Here is a 20,429-nt window from a genome sequence, read left to right on the forward strand (position 1 = left end):
CCTTTTACGATGGCATCGTCAATAAGCAGCTCTGACAAATGAAGATCACTTGTAATAGTGATAATTAGGGGAATGGCCCCTGAGAAGGAATACGGGTAGTTAGTAGTAACCATATGTTCCACCCAGGCTTTGGGAGAAGTGTTATAAGGAAGTCAAGATATTGGAGAAGCATCATTTTGCAGAGTCAGTGTAATTGTAGCCTGGGCTGTGATTTCAGAGAATCAAAGCCTTCCTGCCTAAGAACCACCTGCCTAGTAGTCACTCATCTTCTACACTCGTCTAAAATGTGACAGCCCTGCTCTTTTTGCCTGCTGTCATCCACATAAGATGTAACTTTCTCCTCTTTGCCATCTGCCATGATTGTGAGACCTCCCCAGCCAGATGGAACCAAAGTGGAGTCTCTGGAACCGCCCAGCAGCAGCCTCATTACTCAGAAGATGCTGACGAAGACCCAGACAGGAAGAAAGGAAGCAAAAGCATCCTGACTGGTACATTAGCAAAGGCACATCCCTGGAGAGCAAGGAGAGGGGGAGGGCAGGCAACAGTGCCCATGGCATGCATCTGCAGCTTGTGAGCAATGCATGAAAACAGGAATCAAAAAACAGCATTGCCTCCAGCATCCATGTGTTTATGGCTCTCATGGGGGGCATGATAGAGGAGGATGGATCAGCACTAGCTCTGCAGGCTGCCTAACCTGGAAGTCAGTCTCTGCCTTTAGATCTACTCACTTCTTTTGGGAACGGAAATATCCACGTATCCCTTGTCCTACAACCTCAATTAATGTCTTTGCAACAGCCATCTGTTAAATTCAAGAAGGCCCTGGAACAACTTAATTGGAAAAGTTTCCCTCTTATCCCTTGAAAAACCATAGAAAAGTAATGTCACACGAATGTTGAACTTCTGATTTCTACAATTTCAGATACCAGAGTTTATCTGTTACCATGACAACTAAGAGCTTTATAAATGTTTTCTAGGCTCTGCTTGCTATTTTCTGGAACTTATCTACATTTCAGTATTTGCTTAATAATTTTGAGCTGACACTAGCAACATAATTGTGTCTGGATTGTGTATTTGTTGTGTGTTGGCGGGGGTGGGTATAATTGATGTCTTTGTTTTTCAATATGAGCAATTTTTAATAAACTTTAATATTTAATGTGCAAAAAAAAGTTACAGCCCTTTCCACTTCGCAGACAAAAAGCTTAAAATGCCATTTTCTATTGCATGCGTGACTTCCTGAGAGTTGATCTGATGAAAAGAAGCCAGCTGGAGGGTGATTGGGTGATTCTACCCAGTGCAGGTTGGGTGGATGACAGAGTAGACAGGAGATGTTTGAAATTCTCAAAATGAACTTCATCTATTTTTTTCCAACTTTGTGTTTGGCTCACATAAGATGAAGCATACTTTTAGTTCTTAGAAACTTTATTCTCTTATGAGAATTATCTTCTAATCAGGGAACCAAATAGTAAAATTGTGCTGAGTGCTTGCATTGGCAGGAAACAGAACTTTAAGATAAAGGTCAGCTCTCTGGACATTGTCTACATGATGCTTTTCTTTCTTTTCCCTGTGGACACGCAGGTGTCCCTGGTGACTGAAATGGCATCCTCTCTGAAGATCTGGGGCAGTCCCTTGGCCCTGCTTTGCATTCTTTGCAGGCTACTTGTACACAGCAAGGACGTTTCCTGGAGAGAATTCATGACCCTGCACTATTTAGATCCAAGCCAAGATTTTGAAGAGTACAAATGTGATGTCCTCACGAGAGAAAAAGAAGCTCTGAAACGCAAGAGCTCTCATATGTCCATCTATAGCTTATGGCACAAAATGGAGTGTATATGCATTATTGAAATGGGAATAACCGATATAGATATGCCTATGTATGGGCCCAGGGTGCCCTCAAAGTACTCGAGTGTCAGTGGCAGAAGTACTGCAATAGCTACACAGAGATCTTCAACTACATTGAATTCCACTGTGGCAAGGATGGGTATGTTGATAGCATAGGAGACCTGAGGATGGTGGAGCCTATCAGTAACTAGAAGGTCCATGCACATCCTCAGGGATTGGTATTCAGTGCTTCCCGAGTGGTGGCCCCTGCCTCCATCAATAGCCCCTGACACTCCCCACTTGCACTTATGCATCCGTGTTTTCCAAAACTTAGAATTATGAAACGCATGATTTCTTGATACCATAACCTCGCCTGTGTTGTTTCTCTGCCTGGAATACACTTTTGTCTTCATTTACCTAATTTACTCCTACATGTTTGTCAAGATTCAGCTCGTAATGCATCTGATCTTTACTAACCAAGATTTTTCCTGATATTCACTCTAAACCTACCCAAGGTGGATGATCTTCCTTTCCCTAAATAAATCGTATTATGCCAAAATGTGTGACATTCTACATATGATGTGTGTAAAGTAAGTATCATGTAATTGGTATGGGTGTGTGAGATCTAGGATATGTTTGCCTGTGACTTATGCTGTGCAAGGTCACATTTTATGTGACTGTGTCTGTGCATGGGATATGTTTGTGTATATCATGAGGATGTAAATGATTATAGGCTAAGCTGGAGACAAACTGTGATGTAGACACTGATTGTGTTGACAATTTGATATAATCAAAAAGGTCATAATCCAGTTTTAATGATTTTATTAAAGTGAAAAGATGGGAATGGCCACTCTGTGACACACAAACTCCAGAGAAAGTTAAGTTTTTGCTAATGTAGGAAAAAGACAAAGAAATTCAAAAGGATTACAATATTTTCTATGCCAGGCTGGTTCAAGAGTTACAACAAATTAATTAGTTACAGATTTGTGCCCAACCTCATGACTTGTTTTCATTTATTCATAGCTGTGCTTCATTTCTGTTCCAATTTTAAAAGAGTGTATTTAACATTCCATCTCAAGACGATGTGATAGCAATGAAGTCTTTACATCAAAAACAGAAGAGGGGAGTTCATCCATAATGAAGATCAGCAGTGGAGTGGAATGAGTCTTCCCTGGCCCACTTCAGTCATTTTACATTTCACACAACAATGCAGGTAAGAAAGTGTCTTAATCTCTAATCAGAGAAACCAAGGTACACCTGCCTTGGTTACAGCTGCCTAGTATGTGACTCAGGCCCCATCATCACTTTTTTTTTTTTTTTTCTTTGAGACAGAGTCTCACTCTGTCACCCAGGCTGGAGTGCAGTGGCCAGATCTTGGCTCACTGCATCCTCCACCTCCAGGTTTCTAGCGATTATCCTGCCACAGCTTCCTGAGTAGCTGGAATTACAGGAGCATGTCACCATGCCCAGCTAATTTTTGTATTTTTAGTGAAGACTGGGTTTCACCATGTTGGCCAGGCTGGTCTCAGACTCCCGACCTCGGGTGATTTTCCCACCTCGGCCTCCCAAAGTGCTGGGATTACAGGCATGAGCCACCACGCTCCGCCCATCATCACATTTTAAGGTTCAAAATAATATAGAGTTCCAACAGCTTATATTTTGAATGAATTACTTTCACGGTGGTAACATGCTTAGTTCCACTCAGTTTCTTGGGTAAAGGCAGAGCTGACTGGGTATAAAACATGTGGCATGATTCCTGGCTTATGGTAGTTGCTCAGTAAAAATTCTTTCCTTTCTCATATTACTCTTTGGTTTTCTACTTTAATTTTGACTTTGATAAACAAACATAACAAGTGCCCATCAACCATTTCTGTCCCTGACTCTGGAGATGGGGATTTCTTTTATTTTTTATTTATTTATTTTTTTAAGACAGAGTCTCACTCTGTCACCCAGGCTGGAGTGCAGTGGCACGATTTCAGCTCACTGTAATCTCCTCCTGCTGGGTTCAAGTGATTCTCCTGCTTCAGCCTCTCTAGTAGCTGGGATTATAGGCGTGAGCCACCATGCCTGGCTAATTTTTTGTATTTTTTAGTAGAGACAGGGTTTTGCCATGTTGCCGAGGCTGATCTCAAACTCCTGAGCTCAGGGAATCTGCTTGCCTTGGACTCTCAAAGTGCTAGGATTATAGGCGTGAGCCACCAGGCCTGGCCTAGAGATGCAGACTTCTTTCTTTTCTTTTCTTTTCTTTTTCCTTTTTTTTTTTTTTTTGAGACAGAGTTTAGCCTTTGTTGCCCAGGCTGGAGTGCAATGGTGCAATCTCGGCTCACTGTAACCTCTGCCTCCTGGGTTCAAGCAATTCTTCTACCTTAGCCTCCGAGTAACTCAGGATTACAGGTGCGCAACACCACGTCCCACTAATTTTTTTGTATTTTTAGTAGAGATGGGGTTTCGCCATGTTGGCCAGGCTGGTCTCAAACTCCTGACCTCAAGTGATAGTGATCTGCCCACCTCGGCTTCCCAAAGTCCTGGGGTTACAGGTGTGAGCCACCACACCCAGCCCAAAACTGGTAGAGGTGCCGGAGAGTGAACTGGGGACCTCGTACATGCCAAGGATTTCTAATACAAAACTACAGTAGGCTGTCATCTGTATGTAAGCTATACACACGCGGGATGAGAAAGAACACCTCCTCTATCAACCATACACTCACAGATATCTCCACTAGACTCAGTTCCTTAAGAAGGTTTCTAAGAAGTTCAATGCATGTTTGCCGGGCTAAGGTGTTACCTTTCCTAAGGATGACACATCAAGTAGAAGATATTAGCACAAATGATTTTATCTGATAATAATCATGTTCGCTTGGCAGAAACATAGGGAGAAGGTTGGAGGACTTTAAAATACAATGGTCCTCAACAATGGACTTAAGACCTAAATTTTGTTCATGGAATGAATGAGAAAGGAAATAGGAGAAAGACACGTTGGGTTCACAGGCAAGTAGGAACTATGTGAAATTCTGTTTGCTAACTGTAGGAGAGAGATACAAAGTAAGAAATGCTTGCTTCATATAATTTTGTCCAGGTCCGGTATGGGGTGGAAAAGTGCTAAACATTAAAGTAACTTGTGTTCTTCAGCGTCCTGCAATGTTGAATGGCTCTGGCCTTGAAACAATTAGAGAAAAGACCAAAGTATCAACATTATTTATGAGGTGACTGCGCACTTTTTTAGAACTCTGGTCTCAATGAGGAGTCAGTGTATCTACATTGGTCATCATGTTCCAAATGCAGTTCCTCAACTTTGCAATTTTTGAGTGCACCTGGGGAGGAACAGACACCTGGGGATGACAATCTCTACTAACCAAAGTCAGAAGAGATTAGTATCAAACCAGTAGCAAGGCCAGGCATGGTGGCTCACGCCTGTAATCCTAGCACTTTGGGAGGCCGAAGCAGGCGGATCACAAGGTCAAGAGATTGAGACCATGCTGGCCAACATGGTGAAACCTCATCTCTACAAAAATACAAAAATTAGCCGGGCGTGGCGACATGTGTCTGTAGTCCCAGCTACTCGGGGGGCTGAGGCAGAATAATCGCTTGAATTTGGGAGGCAGAGATTGCAGTGAGCCGAGATTGTGCCATTGCACTCCAGCCTGGTGACAGAGTGAGACTCTGTCTCAAAATAAATAAATAAATAAATAAATAAATAAATAAATAAACAGTAGCTCCTCCTCAATGGTCAATTTACATATGGGGAAAAATACTAATTATTTTTCTCATTTGATAAATACTCTTCAAAATATAGTGTAAGGGAGGAAAAAATTTTCCTTCTACCCTTTTAGGATCTTAGCTGGGGCCCCTATAAGAAAAGTCAGATTAACGGAAGAAAAACAAACAGAATGTGGTAACATGTGTATCTCACGTATACATGGGAGAAACTCAGAGAGTATCTCACAGAGGTGGCTAGAGTGCCATCTTCAGCTATTTAGATGGCTAAATGCCATCTTCAGCTAATGCAAAGGAAAATGCATGTGGGGAGCAAGTCATAGGGAGATGACCAGGAAAAGTATAGTAAATGAGGGAAAGTTTGGTCATACAGATTTAAGTCAGTATCTTCTCCACTGAGAAGGGTCTCTTGTGATTTAGAGTCACCTTTCTCTATCTGGCACAGAGAAGGAGACATCCATAAGAATGGAGGTTTCCCTTATGAATGCACGTTACCCTTACAAAAGGCCAATGCATACTCTATTTTCAGAGCTTGTCTTGTGTATACTGTTTCTCAAAATAAGCAGTCCAAAATAATCTTTACGTTACAGAGCATACCTTGTGGCGGCATATTCTGATCTCCTATAGTAGATTCTCACAAATTTCTCATGTAAGTAGCTCTTTAAAAGTTGCTTTTACTAAAGGGTAAGCAGATGGTAATTCAAAACAGTATAGGAGGAAAGTGCATTTAAGGGCAATTAGTATATTAGGTTTGTATATCAGTGGAATGTGAAGCTGATACAGAAATGAATGAATATGCAGCTACCCAAATCAGGGATAAATATCAGAGCTTTATAAGCTCTAGCTTTCCTGATATCCATCCCTTATTTGGATAGCTGCACATTAATTTCCTTAGGGACCTGTCTTCCTCTTTTGTGGACCTTATAGGTGAGGCTGTCCACTAAGGCTTGCAGTCCCTTCTGCTAAGCCAAGCAATTGTCATGAGATCCAAGCTAGGCTAACTGAACCTTCTTTTGTAGGACATAAATATATGGCACCCTAAAATATGCCCCAGATACAAAGTCCTGTCAATTAGTATTTGTGTTGCTCTGCATCCTCACCAGCTTTGGTGATGTCAGTTTGTATTGCATTTCAGCCATTCTAATAGATGTGTAGTATTATCACATCCATTGTGTTAATTTGCAGTTCTCTAATGATAATAATACACTGAAAGGATTAACAGCTCATCAAAGCAGGAAAAATTATAGTTACACATTAATCATTGCATGCTGGTCCACTTGGAGCAGCTTCCCTGCAGCTGCTAACTAACCAAGAGTCACATAGCATGCTGACCACCTGCTCCCCCATTGTTCCTATAGGTAGAAACTCACAAACAAGAATCGTGGGTCTTTTTTGCTCAAGAATTGCTTCAGGCATTTCAGATTCTGAACTCTAGTGGAAAGACTGACACCAACCAGTCTGAAGACCCCCACCATGCAACTGGCTCAGAAGAATGCACCTTTGGCATCTCCCTGTCCCAAGACTGCACTCCTCACTTCTCAAGAATCAAAAATCCCTACACTTCAGCCGCTGTCCAGACCCCTCACAAACCCTACCCTAAACCTCTTGGAGAGGTGGATTTGACTTTTCCTCCCATCTCCTTGTCTGACTGTCATAAAAATATTACACTATTTCTCTGCTGCTATCACCATTATCTCAGTATGTTGACTTGCTGGGCATAAGGCAAGGAATCTATTATGGTTAAAGTTTAGTGGAGAGCTAGCCTGGAGGGTCCTCATGGGCATTTGTCCATGGTTCGATACTCTCTTGCTGCTGTAGCAAACCTGGAGATTCACCAAAGTATCTGGAGTTTTTGCCAGCATGGCACTGCCAACTTTCAGCTCAGGCTCACTTGCAGGGGAGAAGGGGTTTCCAGAATGGGAAAACATCTCTGGTAAGTGTTCCAACATCCTCTTTTCCTTCTCCTGATCTGCTGGCCTTCTTAGAGGTCCTGTCACCTCTTTGGAGGTCCTGTTGTCCCTCCTTCACAAAGGGCCCTGCTCAAGGACATTTTTACCAATTGGAAGGAGCACATAGGGACGTACAGTGGAACTATTCCTGGGCTCTTTGGGTTTCAGTTCTGAAATCTGTTTTTTTGTTTTGTTTTGTTTGTTTGCTTGTTTGCTTGTTTTTAAACAGAATCTCGCTCTGTCACTGAGGCTGGAATGCAGTGGTGCAATCTCGGCTCACTGCTGTTGGCTCTCCCTCCTTCACCTGGTGAAGGAGCTATGGCCAGGCCACCGGCACTTGACCAGGAGGCCAGGAATGACAAGATGCAGGAATGGCCTCCTCTTCTCACACCTGTCAGAGGACCTAATTTGGCCAGGGAACCACTTTAGCTCCAGCAGGACGATTTTCCCTTCAATAATTACCTACAGGAGGTGTTGACGCTGACACAGGGCAACCCATGGGGCTTATTTGGGTACACTCTCCATTCTCTATTTCTTATTTATAAAATTTGAAAAACAGTATTGCTACCTATTGAGAGGATCCAAAGCCAATGGAAAATTTGTTCTCTTCTATATTATTTTCTTCTATATCCTATATCCCATAATCCTACCTGGACCAATGTTCAAACCTGAACTCTGAAAGGGCATGCCCAAGCAGATGAGCCTTAAGAAAGTTCAGGAAGTAAGGCATAAGCCCAATGAAAGCCCTTCAAGTTTTCTGGACTGCATTTGGAAGTGTTCAAGGAATACACTGATATTGGTCCGAAGGCCTCAGAAAATTTAAAGAGGATAAACATGACATTTATTAGCCAGAGTGTCCCTGACATCCAGTGAAATTTGCAACAAGTTGAAGGGGCACTGGACATATCTTTGTCTCAAATGGTAGAAACAAGGGTGTTCACCGGCAGAGACCTGGTCTGAACCAAAGAGAACTATAAAACATGTAGCAGCAAGCCACCTTGCTAGCAGCTGCTTAAGGAACCCTCGGACCATGGCACGGACCCACCATAGGAGCCCCACATAAGTTAGGACCCCCTGGGACCCAGGCTCCCTATAAGTAGAAACACTCTACTTACTGAACTCCATGTGCCAACTACAGACAGGAAGGCCATTGGAAAAAAGACTGACCAAACCACAAAGGGGCCAATAATGGGAAAATCAATTTCCAATTCACCAAATGCCTGAAATATCTCAGGGATCTGGGGCTAAGAACTTCTGTAATAAGGATCAAAAATGATGGGGCCCGAGGGCAGCCTCTGACCCAGCTAGTACCCTCCATATTTCCCATGTGGAGCCCTGGGTCATTATGATGCTGAGAAATCAACTTTTAGCCTTTCTAGTAGATACCAGTGCCACCTACTCAGTAGTAAACACACACTTGTTCAAATTGTCTTCTGAAACTATGAAAGTGAAGGCAGTTTTAGAGGAGACCCTAAAAGAACCATTCCTGCAACCCCTAGATTTCCAACTGTGACAGACTTGCCTAAAGCGTCACTTCTTACATATGCCTGAATACCTTATCGATTTCTTGGGACATCATCTCTTGACTGAACTGAATGCAAATATTACCTTTTCCCCAGGATGGGTGAATATTACAGTGTCCCCAGATCAAGCCCGTACCTTGCAAGCTGCATTGTTGCAGCAACTGGCTCAGAATTTCTCTCTCATCCCTGAAGAATTCCTACAAGAGGTGGGTACTGATTCCCATCCTGGGCAGATGGGAAACCAGATAGTGCTAAGTCTGCAGTCCCAGGACCAGTCAAAGTATATGAGGGAACCACACTGCTGAGTCTTAAACAATACCACCTGAGAGAAGAGGTATGAGGAAGTATTCAGTTTTTGTTGTCTGATTTCCTCCAGTCTTTGTACTCAACAGACCTTGCTGGTCCTCGCGTAAGAAATCTTATCTGGACTTCTCTTAACTGACTAAAGCAGAGCATTGTGAAAATACAGCCACCATTATCTCTCTCCAAGGGAATCCTCGTGTAACCACGATAGGTGTGTGGCCTGATGCCTACATTCATCTTCTCATCTGTGTCTCAAGGAGTATGGGGTTAGGGTTTTGGGTTTTTTTTTAGTTTTTGTTATGTTTGTTTTGTTTTGTTTTTGAGAGACAGGGTCTCACTCAGTCACCCAGGCTGGTGCTATCATAGCTCAGTCCAGCCTTAAACTTCTAAGCTCAAGCAATCTTCCTGCCTCCGTTTCCCAAGTAGCTGAGGTTACAGGCACGTGCTACCACTACTGGCCTTAAAAATTTTTCTTTTTTTTTTTTGGTAGAGTCAGGTTATCATTATGTTGACCAGGCTGGTTTTCAACTCCTGGCCTCAAGTGATCCTCCCACCTCAGCCTCCTAAGTAGCTGGGACTACAGGCATGTGCCACCACACCCAACTAATTGTTTTAATTTTCTGTAGAGATAGGGTTTCTCCCTGTGTTGCCCAGGCTGGTCTCAAACTCGTGAGCTCAAGTGATCCTCCCACTTTGACCTTCTCAAGTGTTGGGATTACAGGTGTGAGCCACTATGCCCAGCCCCTACATTTCAATATGGGTGAGTGAAAATAGAGATGTAATTTTCTGCACTGCACTACTGCATTGATCCTATGAATTCCATCCATGGAGCCCTTGGAAGTCCGTGGATCACAGATTAAGACACCTATAGACGTTGTCATCCCCTGAATGAGGAACCTAAGTCACTTTTATGGTTTTGTGAAACAGTAGTTCACAAACATTTAAGAATTGAATAGTGGCTAACAAAAGAAATATTGGCTTGGTGCGGTGGCTCACGCTTTTAATCCCAGCACTTTGAGAGGCCAAGGCGGGTGGATCACCTGAGGTCAGGAGTTTGAGATCAGTCTGGCCAACATGGCAAAACCCTGTTTCTACTAAAAATACAAAAATTACCCGGATGTGTTGGTGCGCACCTGTACTCCCAGCTACGCAGAAGGCTGAGGCAAGAGAATCACTTGAACCCAGGAGGCAGAGGTTCCAGTGAGCTGAGATCATGCCTGGACGACAAGAGTGAAACTCCATTCCAAAAATAATAATAATAATAATAAAAGGACATATCAAGGAATTAACAGAAAATAATTAAAATCAAAGACAATAAAGGATGAACATAATTTTCAAGTGATTTAAAATTTATATTTAAAGGGGAATACCTCCTTAAAAACCGAAATCAAAAGTCACTGCCCAAGGAGCTTCTGTTACACAAGCTGGTAGACAACCCTAGGAAGTAGACCCATTACGTAGTTTCCAGAAATACTGGTTGGGTTACCTTCCTGGGCTGCATTCATAGTGGCTAATTTCTGTAAATATAACAATATGCTTTTCCCCAGTTTAGTTTAGATGGCCTCCTAATTGGGTTTATATCCAAAAAGCTTTAGGACTTTGGGCTTAGCTCATAGGAGAGTTCATGGATGTATGCTTGGAGTCCATGATTTTTTTTCCATATTAAAAGTGGAATATCAAGTATTTGAGAAACACTGGCTCATACATTGGCTCAGGTGGCTTCTCTCTCCCACCTCTCTACATTCATTGAGTCACTACTTGAATTTGTCTTCAATAGACAATGCACATTTGTTGGAAAGAGCTCTGGATGTGTGGGCACATGACAAAAAACTGATTTTCCCTCAGAATCGCCTCTCAAATCATCCAAATTCAGAGGCCCAGAATTGTTCCTGTTTTGCTCTCCCCTGTCCCCCAAAGACCTAGAGAGTAGAAGGATGCACAGAACCTGCTCTAAGACTATCTCCCGTCCATCCAGTCTATCAGCACATGATTTTCTATTACTCAAGGACTGCTTCACAGGAGTGGGGGTTTGAAGATAAGTTCTGGATATAAACTGAACCTTCTGTCATTCCAACAATAAGGTGGCCCAGTGAGAAAATCAACTAAGGTGGTTTGGCTAGGAGCAGCCTTTGGAAGTGTTGTTAGAAAAGATTTGCAAGAGTCTTACTTTATTCATAAATCGTAACTTTGACTAGTGTTGATGAACCAGTATTGGTCACATTTGCCAATTTGTGGGGAGTTGGCATGGAAAATATGGTGGAAAATTCCGGCTGTGATGTTAAAGGTAACCATTGAACACTTGCACAAACTCAGTTGAAGAAGTTGTGGTCTTGTCAGTTTGAGCTGAGTTCAGGACTGAATCTTGAGGTCCTGAAAAACAACTTAGCCAGCACCTTGTGACCTATACTTCACAGTCAGATGTTACGTATAGTAGCATTGTAGAAACTATGGCCAGGCTATGTGACATTTTAATAGTAAGCAGTACAGTGTCACCAAACAGCTAAAGGTTATAATTAAAAAACTGAGTAGAGAAATTTCAGATACTGGCTACCTAATCATTCATAGCTATTTGGCCACTGTGTTCACTAGATATTCTTTCACCTCTCAATGAAGGTCTCACAATTCACAACATTAAAAGTGATTTTCTGGCCTGACCAAGTGGCTCATGCCTGTAATCCCAGCACTTTTAGAGGCTGATGTGTTGAGGCTTAGCTAGGCTCAGGAGTTCAAGACCAACCTGGCCAACATGGTGAAACCCTGTCTCTACAAAAATTAATACAAAAAACTAGCCAGGCATGGTGTTGCATGCCTATAGTCCCAGCTACTCAAGAGGCTGAGGTGGGAGGATTGCTTGAGCCTGGCAGGTTGAGACTGCAGGGAGCAGTGTTTGTGCGACTGCACTCCAGCCTGGGCGACAGAGCAAGACCCTGTCAAAAAAAAAAAAAAGGCAAAAGACCAGGCACAGCGAGTCACACCTGTAATCCCAGCACTTTGGGAGGCTGAGGCAGGCAGATCATGAGGTCAGGAGATCGAGACCATCCTGGCTAACACGGTGAAACCCCGTCTCTACTAAAAATACAAAAAATTAGCTGGGCGTGGTGACAGGCGCCTATAGTCCCAGCTACTCAGGAGGTTGAGGCAAGAGAATGGGGTGAACCCGGGAGGCGGAGCTTGCAGTGAGCCGAGATCTCGCCACTGCACTCCAGCCTGGGCAACAGAGCGAGACTCCATCTCAAAAAAAAAAAAAAGGTGGCTTTCCTCAGTGAAGTTCCCATGTAACATAGCATAACCCTCCAGGGACTTCCCCAGAAGTTTGTTAGAATTGAGAGCAGAGCTAAGTCTCTGGTTGTCTCCTGATAGCACCAGATAACCCTTTTCTGGGGTCACCTAGGGTCTTGCAATCATTTTGTACCCAGGGCTCAGCCTTTGATGTTTGTAGCCTTTGCTCGAGGCTACTGTTTGAGTGAGCCCAAGTGTTCCAGATGAAACGATACAGGGACAAGTTCACATAATAAGGCTGTTCCCCATCACCACCTCGGCTACCAATCAGCTGGAGCCCTGCAGCTCCCCCTACTATTCCTTTCTCCACTGCTGTAGATTTCCAGGGCTCTGAGAAAAGGAGGAGGACGCAGACTCTGCTCTTCAGATCCACATGCTGATCCCCACTACAATCAGTGACCTGAACTCAGAGTCCAAGTAGGGTAAGAAGGGCTCTGCTGAGGTTGCTCGGGGGACAGCCAGGAACACTGGAAGGAGGCTGATTGAACTTTTAGATAGCAAACAATGGAGAAGGATCCAAATCATGGAAAACAAAGGTCTGAATTCTGGTTAGCCTCAGTCCCACTGATACAGGCTTTTCCCTGCCCCTCCCTTCCTTCACCGCCAGTCCTCCTAAGCACAGTGCATTAAAGCTGCTTGCATCCTACTCTTCTATCTTGTGTAGGCCTTTATCACCAGGACAGGGTTCCACAGATGAGGAACCCTGTGCCTGATGTGGGCATTTGACATCTTTAGAAGTGCTCTCACATGCTTGCATCTCATTAGACTCTTGCAGGTCTGTAGGGAGCTGTGATTAGGCCTATCTGAGGACACCGATACTCAGAGCTATGAATCAGGCTAGAGGTTCAGTAGGGCCAGGAATACTCCTCATGGCAAATGAGGACAGATAGCTGGTAAAGAGATAACTTTTTCAAACGACCATACATCCTATGCTGTGACCACAGTAGCTCTGCGGGGGACTGTTTTAGTTTTGGTGCCTGATTGATTACAGCAACAGTTCTAAACTGATGTCCTTTTATGATGGCATTGTCAATAAGCTCTAACAAATGAAGATCATTTGTAATAGCAGTAATTAGGGAAATGGCCTCTGAGAAGGGATGCCGATAGTTAATAATGATCACATGTTTCACCCAGACTTTGGGGAAAGTGTTATAAGGAAGTCAAGGTTGGAAAAACATCATTTTTCAGAGAAGTGCAATTGCAGCCTGGGCTGTGGTTTCCAGAATCAATGCCTTCTGCCTAGGAACCACCTCCCAAGTAGTTACTCATCTTCTACATTCCCTTAAAATGCAACAATCTTTTCCACTTTGCAGACAATACGCTTAAAATGTCATTTTTCTATTGGACACATGATCTCCTGAGAGCTTATTTGGTAAAAGAGAGCTCGATAGTGATTGGCTCCTCAAATTGGGTAGAAGACAGGGTAGACAGGAGATATTTGAAATTCTCAAAAGGTACTTTATCTATATTTTCCAAATTTGTGTTAGCTCTCACAGGCTAAAGCATATTTTTAGTTCTTAGAAACTGTATTCTTTTTTTTTTTTTTTTTTGAGACGGAGTTTTGCTTTTGTCACCCAGGCCGGAGTGCAGAGGTGTGATGTCGGCTCACCGCAACCTCCGCCTCCCAGGTTCAAGCGATTCTCCTGCCTCAGCCTCTCGAGTAGCTGGGTCTACAGCCACCATGTCCAGCTACTTTTTGTATTTTAGTAGAGATGGGGTTTCACCATGTTGGCCACGGTGTTTCTCGAACTCCTGACCTCAGGTGATACACCCACCTTGGCCTCCCAAACTGCTGGGATTACGGGTATAAGCCACTGTGCCCAGCCCAGAAACTGTATTCTTTAATGAGAATCATCATCTTCTAATATGGAACCAAATAGCAATATAGTGCCCAAGTACCTGCTTGGCAGGGAAAGGAATTTTAAGGTGGAGCTCAGCTCTCTGAGTATAGTCTGGTTAATGCTTTTCTTTCTCTTCCCTGTAGACACGCAGGTGGACGTGGTGACTGAGATGACATCCTCTCTAAAGATTTGGGGCATACTCTTGGCCCTGCTTTGCATCCTTTGCAGGCTGTGTGTATACAGTAACAACATTTACTGGAGAGAATTCATAAAACTTCATTACTTAAGTCCAAGTCGAGAATTCAAAGAGTACAAATGTGATGTCCTCATGAGAGAAAAAGAGGCTCTGAAAGGCAAGAGCTTTCATATGTTCATCTATAGCTTATGGTTCAAAATTCAGCGTGCATGCATCAATGAGAAGGGGAGCGACCGATATAGAAATGCATATGTATGGGCCCCAGGTGCCCTCAAAGTACTCGAGTGTCACTGGGAGAAGTACAACAATAGGTACACAGAGAGCAGAAGCTTCAGCTACATTGAATTCCATTGTGGCGTAGATGGATATGTTGATAACATAGAAGACCTGAGGATTATAGAACCTATCAGCAACTAGAAAGTCTATGCACATCCTCAGATATTGGTAGAGTATTCAGTGCTTCCAAAGTGGTGGGCCCTGCCTCCATCAATAGCCCCTGCCACTCCCCGCTTACATTTATGTGTCAGTGTTTTCCAACTACTTAGAGTTTATGTACCTCGTGATTTCTTGATACCAAATCTTTGTGTGGTTTCTGTATCTGTAATACAATTTTGTCCTAATTTGCCTAATTTACACCCACATTTTTTCCAAGATTCAGCTCATATGGCATCTGTCCTCGACTAACCTAAGACTTTCCTGATATTGACTCTCTTTATACCTACCCAAGCTGAACGACCCTCCTTTTCTTAAATAAAATATATTATTCTAACGTATGTGACGCTTATATATGTTATGTGTGCAGAGTATGTATCGTGTGATTGGTATGGGTATCGGTGATCTAGGCTATTTTTGCCTATGGCTGTGCAAGGGGTTTAATGTGCACTTTATGTGTCTGTGTCTAATGTATGTGATATGTTTATGTATATCATGTGGATATAAATGATTGTGTGCTAAACTGGAGACAAGTAGTGATGTAAGCACTCATCGTGGTAGCAATTTGAAATAATCAAAAGGGTCAAAATCCAGTTTTAAGGAGTGGGCTGGGCACTGTGACTCATGCCCATAATTTCAGCACTTTGGGAGGCTGAAACAGGTGGGTCACCTGAGGTCAGGAGTTTGAGACCAGCCTGGCCAACATGGTAAGGCCCTGTCTCTACTAAAAGTACAAAAATTTGCCAGGCTTGGTGGCACATACCTGTAGTTCTAGCTATGGGAGGCTGAGGCAGGAGAATCTCCTGAACCTGGGAGGCAGAAGTTGCAGTGAGCCGAGATCACGCCACTGCACTCCAGCCTGGATGACAGAGCAAGACTCCGTCTCCATCTCAAAAAAAAAAAAAAAAAAAGAGTTTACTAAAGTGAAAGGCTGGGAATGGACATTCTGTGGCACACAGATTCCAGAGAAATGGGGTCAGTACTCCAAAGTTAAAAGTTAAGTTCTTTTTTATGTAGGAAAAAGAGAAAGAAGTGAGAAAGGATTACATTTTCTATACCAGACTGGTTCAAGAGTTACAACAAATTAATTGGTTACACTTTTGTCCCCCCACCACATGACTTGTTCTATTTATAGTTGTTTTTCAATTCTCTCCAACTCTAAAAAGTGTGTTTAACTTTCCATCTTAAGACAGTGTGAAAGCCCAGAGGCTGAGATGGTTGGATCGCTTGAGCTCAGGAGTTTGAGACCAGCCTGGGCAACATGGCAAAACCCTGTCTCTACAAAAGAAAAACAAAAATTAGCCAGGCATGGTGGCATGTGCCTATAGTCCCAGCTACTGAGGAGGCTGAGGTGGGAGGATGGCTTGAGCCCAGAAGGCAGAGGTTGCAGTGAGCCGAGATTGTGCCACTGCACTCCAGCCTGGGTGACAAAGCCAGACCCTGTCGTGAAAACAAACAAACAAAAACAAAACAACAACAACAAAACAAAAAGACAATGTGAAAGCGATGAAGTCTTTGCATGAGAAAGGGAAGAGGGGAGTTAATCCATAATGAACATCAGCAGTTGAGAGGGGATGAGTCTTCCCTGGACCCCTTCACAAATGCAGGTAAGAAACAGGCTTAATCTCTAATCAGAGAAGGCAAGATACACTTGCCTTAGTTACAGCTGCCTGGTACATGACTCAAGCACCGTAATCACTTTCCTTTAAGGTTCCAAATAATTTAGAGTTCCAACAACTTAGATTTGAAATTGTAGATTTTAACAGTCTGACACGCTTAGTTCCACTCAGATTTCTGGGTATAGGCAGAGCTGACTGGGTATAAAACACGTGGCATGGTTTCTGGCTTATAATAGGTACTCAGCGAAAATTGTTTCCTTTCCCATTCACCCACCAGTTTTGTACTTTAATTTTGATTATGATAAACAATCATTATAAGAACCCATCAATTATCTGCTGTCCCTGACTCTAGGGATGGGAATTTCTCATACAAAAATAGAGTAGGCTGTCATCTGTATAAAAGCTATACACATCCAGGATGAAAAAGAACACCTCCTCCATCAACCACACACTTACAGATGTCTCTATTAGACTTAATTCCTTAAGAATGTTTCTAAGAAGGTCAATGCACGTTAAACAGGCCAAGGCATTACATTTCCTAAGGATGACACGTCAAGTAGAAGACATTAGCACAAATGATTTTATCTGATAATAAACATGTTTGCTTCACAGAAACATAGGGCTCTGGCCTTGAAACAATCAGGGAAAAGACCAAAGTATCAACATTATTCATGAGGTGACTGCACACTTTCCTAGAACTCTGGCCTCAATGAGTAGTCAGTGTATCTAGATTGGTCATCATATACCAAAGGCAGTTCCTCAACTTTGCAATTTTTGAGTGCACCTGGGGAGGAGCAGACACCTGGGGATGACAATCTCCACCAACCAAACTCAGAAGAGACTAGTATTAAACCAGTAGCTCTTCATCAATGATCAATTTACATATGGGGAAAAAATACTGTTTTTCTCATTTGATAAATGCTCTTCAAAATATAGTGTAGGAGAGGAAAAAAAATTTTTTCTTCTACCCTTTTAGGATCTTAGCTGGGGCCCCATAAGAAAAGCCAGATTAAGAAGAGAAAAACAAACAGAAATGTGGTAACATGTGTATCTCATGTATACATGAGAGAAAGAGAGTAACTCAAAGCAGTGGCTAGAACTTGGGCTTAAATGACATCTTCAGCTAAAGCTAAGGAAAATGCCCGTGGGGAGCAAGTCACGGGGAGATGACCAGGAAAAGTATAGTAAATGAGGGAAAGGTTTGTCATGTAGATTTGAGTCGAGTACCTTCTCCACTGAGAAGGGTCTCTTGTGATTTAGGGTCACCTTTCTCCTTCTGGCACAGAGAAGGAGACATCTGTAAGAATGGATGTTTCCCTATGAATGCACATTTTCCTTGCAGAAGGGTAACGTGTACTCTATTTTCAGAGCTTTCCTGTGTATCCTGTTTCTCAAAATAAGCAGTTCAAAATAATCTTTGCGCTACAGAGCATACTTTGTGGTGGCATATTCTATTCTCCTAAAATAGGTTCTCACAAGTACCTCATGTAAGTAACTCTTTAAAAGTTGCTTTTACTAAAAGGTTAGCAGATAGTGGTTCAAAACAGTACAAGAGGAAAGTGCATTTAAGGGCAATTAATATATTAGCTTTGTATATCAGCTGAATGTGTTACACAAAGTGATATACATTTAAAGGCAATTCGCATATTGGCTTTGTGTTGTTTCTCTGCCTTTCCCAGTATTTTATTTATTTATTTATTTATTTAGAGATGGAGTCTCCCTCTGTTGCTTAGGCTGGTGTGCAGTAGTGTGATCTCGGCTCACTGCAACCTCCGCCTCCCAGATTCGAGGGATTCTCCTGCCTCAGCCTCCCGAGTAGCTGGAATTACAGGTGTCTGCCACTATGCCTGGCTAATTTTTGTATTTTTAGTAGAGATGGAGTTTCACCATATTGGTCAAGCTGGTCTCGAACTCCTGATCTCAAGTGATCCACCCGCCTCAGCTTCCCAATGTGCTGGGATTACAGGTGAGAGCCACCATGTCCAGCCAAGAATTTTGTAAGGTGTTTCAGATCTTGAATTTCAGTGTTGCAGCTGATGCCAACCAGTCTAAAGACCCCCACCAAGGAACTGGCTCAGCAAAAGATTACAGTTTCTTCATCCCCCTGTCCCCATGACTGCACCCCTCACTTCTTGATGAATCAAAAATCCCCACACTTCAGCCGGGTCCAAACCCCTTATAAACCCAACCCCTAAACCTCTGAGGGAGGCAAATTTGAGTTTTCTTCCCATCCCCTTGTTTGACTGCCCTAGGAATATTACACTATTTCTCTGCCTCTATCGCCATTATTTGGTACGTTGACTTGCTGGGCACCAGGCAATGAATCTATTGTGGTTACAATTTAGTGGAGAGTGTCAGAGATGATAAATTCCTCTTCAAAAGGTTTTAATTCTCTGTTCTTCTGGTTCTTTGTTTCTCTAGTTTCTACAGTTACCCATGCTGTAAACAACCCTTTCCGCACACTGACATGCCCTGACAAGCCTAGACATGCCTTGTGCCATAAGGGATAGCCTTCCCCTTCCTGCCTAGATAGCTGTGGTCAATTTCAAACATTAGCCAGTGGGGTCAGTTTAGACTGTGCGTTCCAACCCCAGCCAATGGAGAAAGGACACAGCAGTAAGAACCAATTGCATTAGGAATAAAAACCCCTGCCCTACCCCGCTCAGTGTGCTCTTGCAATCATAACTGGCACAAGCTGCATCCTTCTGTAGAAGTAAATTTGCCTTGCTGAGAAAATTTCCATTTGAGTGGTATTCCTTTTGCAGCGCCAAATCTTGTTTCTAATTTCTAACAAGAGCTAGCCTGGAGGCTCCTCATGGGCATTTGTCTCTGGTTTAATGCCTTCTTGCCACTGTGGTGAACCTGGAGACCCACCGAAGTCTCTGGAATCTTTCTTGCCAGCATGGCACTGCCAACCTTCAGCTCAGGCTTGCTTGCAGGGGAGGAATGGTTTCTGGAAATGGAAGACATCTTTGCTGTGTGTTCCCAAGCACAAGCAACATCCCCATTTCCTTCTGATCTGCTGGACTTCTTAGAGGTTTTGTCACCTCTTTGGAGGTCCCATTGACCCTCCTCCACATATACAAAGGGCCCTCCCTGCTCAAGGGCATCTTTCCCACTTGGAAGGAGCCCACAGGGCACTGTCCAGGGGAACTACTCCTGGGCCTCTTGGTCTCAGTTCTGAAATCTGATTTCTGACTTGTGAGGTCTCATTATTGTTCTTGTTTGTCCCATTTACCTGTGTGTCAGGGGGCATTCTAAAGGAATCACTAGCTGAAGCTCAGTAGGCCTGACTCAGGGAACCCATCCTCTCTGCCTCGCAGTTGCTTTTGGTGAGTGCTGACGGACCAACCAGCAGCAGCTTGGTGGCCTAGTTCAGGGTGGCCTTCTGCTCCCTCTTCATCACGAGTGACCATTCACTGCATTGCTGGCTAGAGGTCATCCCTCCCCACATGGAGTGGATCAAAGGCACTCAGATATTGAGAGGAGCAACTGGTGTTTGTGTCTTTTTTGTATGTTAATTGTAATTTTACCTTGGTTAATATGAAAAATGCTAATTTTGTTCTCCCAGGCAGCCTGTTAGGCTGCATTTCACAAAATTGGGCATCCATTGCCTAAGAACCCATTAAAAGAAAAAAACATTTACTTTTGTAATACAACCTGGCCCCTTCACCCATCAGAATGTGGGGGAAAAGTGGCCAAAAATGGGTTCCTTAGTTATAATGTCATCTGGCATCTAGACCTCTTTTGTAACA

At 43.2% G+C, this 20,429-nt stretch overlaps 1 protein-coding gene, 1 long non-coding RNA gene and 1 pseudogene across 4 annotated transcripts in view, besides 2 other annotated features; 2 read left to right on the plus strand and 1 right to left on the minus strand.

Annotated features, from left to right (window-relative positions):
- The window catches only part of LOC107984671 (uncharacterized), a 74,578-nt gene that overhangs the window by 7,033 nt on the left and 47,116 nt on the right, over positions 1 to 20,429 (minus strand). The window contains exon 4 of one of the 2 annotated variants that reach the window (XR_001750623.2): positions 19,549 to 19,627. The exons of the other annotated variant lie outside the window; for it this stretch is intronic. This is a non-coding gene — a long non-coding RNA (uncharacterized LOC107984671). Of the gene's footprint in view, positions 1 to 19,548; positions 19,628 to 20,429 lie in introns of those variants that run through there. 2 annotated transcript variants of the gene reach the window in all.
- EDDM3DP (epididymal protein 3D, pseudogene) lies at positions 1,575 to 2,367 on the plus strand (annotated as a pseudogene).
- Positions 2,962 to 15,396, plus strand: EDDM3A (epididymal protein 3A). 2 transcript variants are annotated; one of them, XM_017020934.3, is made up of 2 exons: positions 2,962 to 3,031; positions 14,571 to 15,396. In XM_017020934.3, exon 2 carries the CDS (start codon positions 14,597 to 14,599, stop codon positions 15,038 to 15,040), a length of 444 nt encoding a protein of 147 aa, XP_016876423.1. In that variant the 5' UTR covers positions 2,962 to 3,031; positions 14,571 to 14,596; the 3' UTR covers positions 15,041 to 15,396. The 2 variants fall into 2 exon arrangements, with proteins under 2 accessions (XP_016876423.1, NP_006674.2); NM_006683.5 differs by lacking the exon at positions 2,962 to 3,031 and adding an exon at positions 12,903 to 13,008.
- Positions 18,299 to 19,498: an enhancer, noted in NCBI's record as "MED14-independent group 3 enhancer chr14:21219442-21220641 (GRCh37/hg19 assembly coordinates)". NCBI's record gives its function as "activates an origin of replication core promoter dependent on BRD2, BRD4, P300/CBP and CDK7 cofactors, and independent of MED14, by STARR-seq in HCT116 cells {active_cell/tissue: HCT116}" and the evidence as "EXISTENCE:reporter gene assay evidence [ECO:0000049][PMID:35650434]".
- Positions 18,610 to 19,110: an enhancer, noted in NCBI's record as "H3K27ac hESC enhancer chr14:21219753-21220253 (GRCh37/hg19 assembly coordinates)". NCBI's record gives its function as "activates a minimal SCP1, AML or CMV promoter by ChIP-STARR-seq in naive and primed H9 embryonic stem cells {active_cell/tissue: H9 hESC(naive and primed)}" and the evidence as "EXISTENCE:reporter gene assay evidence [ECO:0000049][PMID:30033119]".

The sequence above is a fragment of the Homo sapiens genome, chromosome 14 (genome assembly GCF_000001405.40).
Source record: "Homo sapiens chromosome 14, GRCh38.p14 Primary Assembly".
NCBI classification, from domain to species: domain Eukaryota; kingdom Metazoa; phylum Chordata; class Mammalia; order Primates; family Hominidae; genus Homo; species Homo sapiens.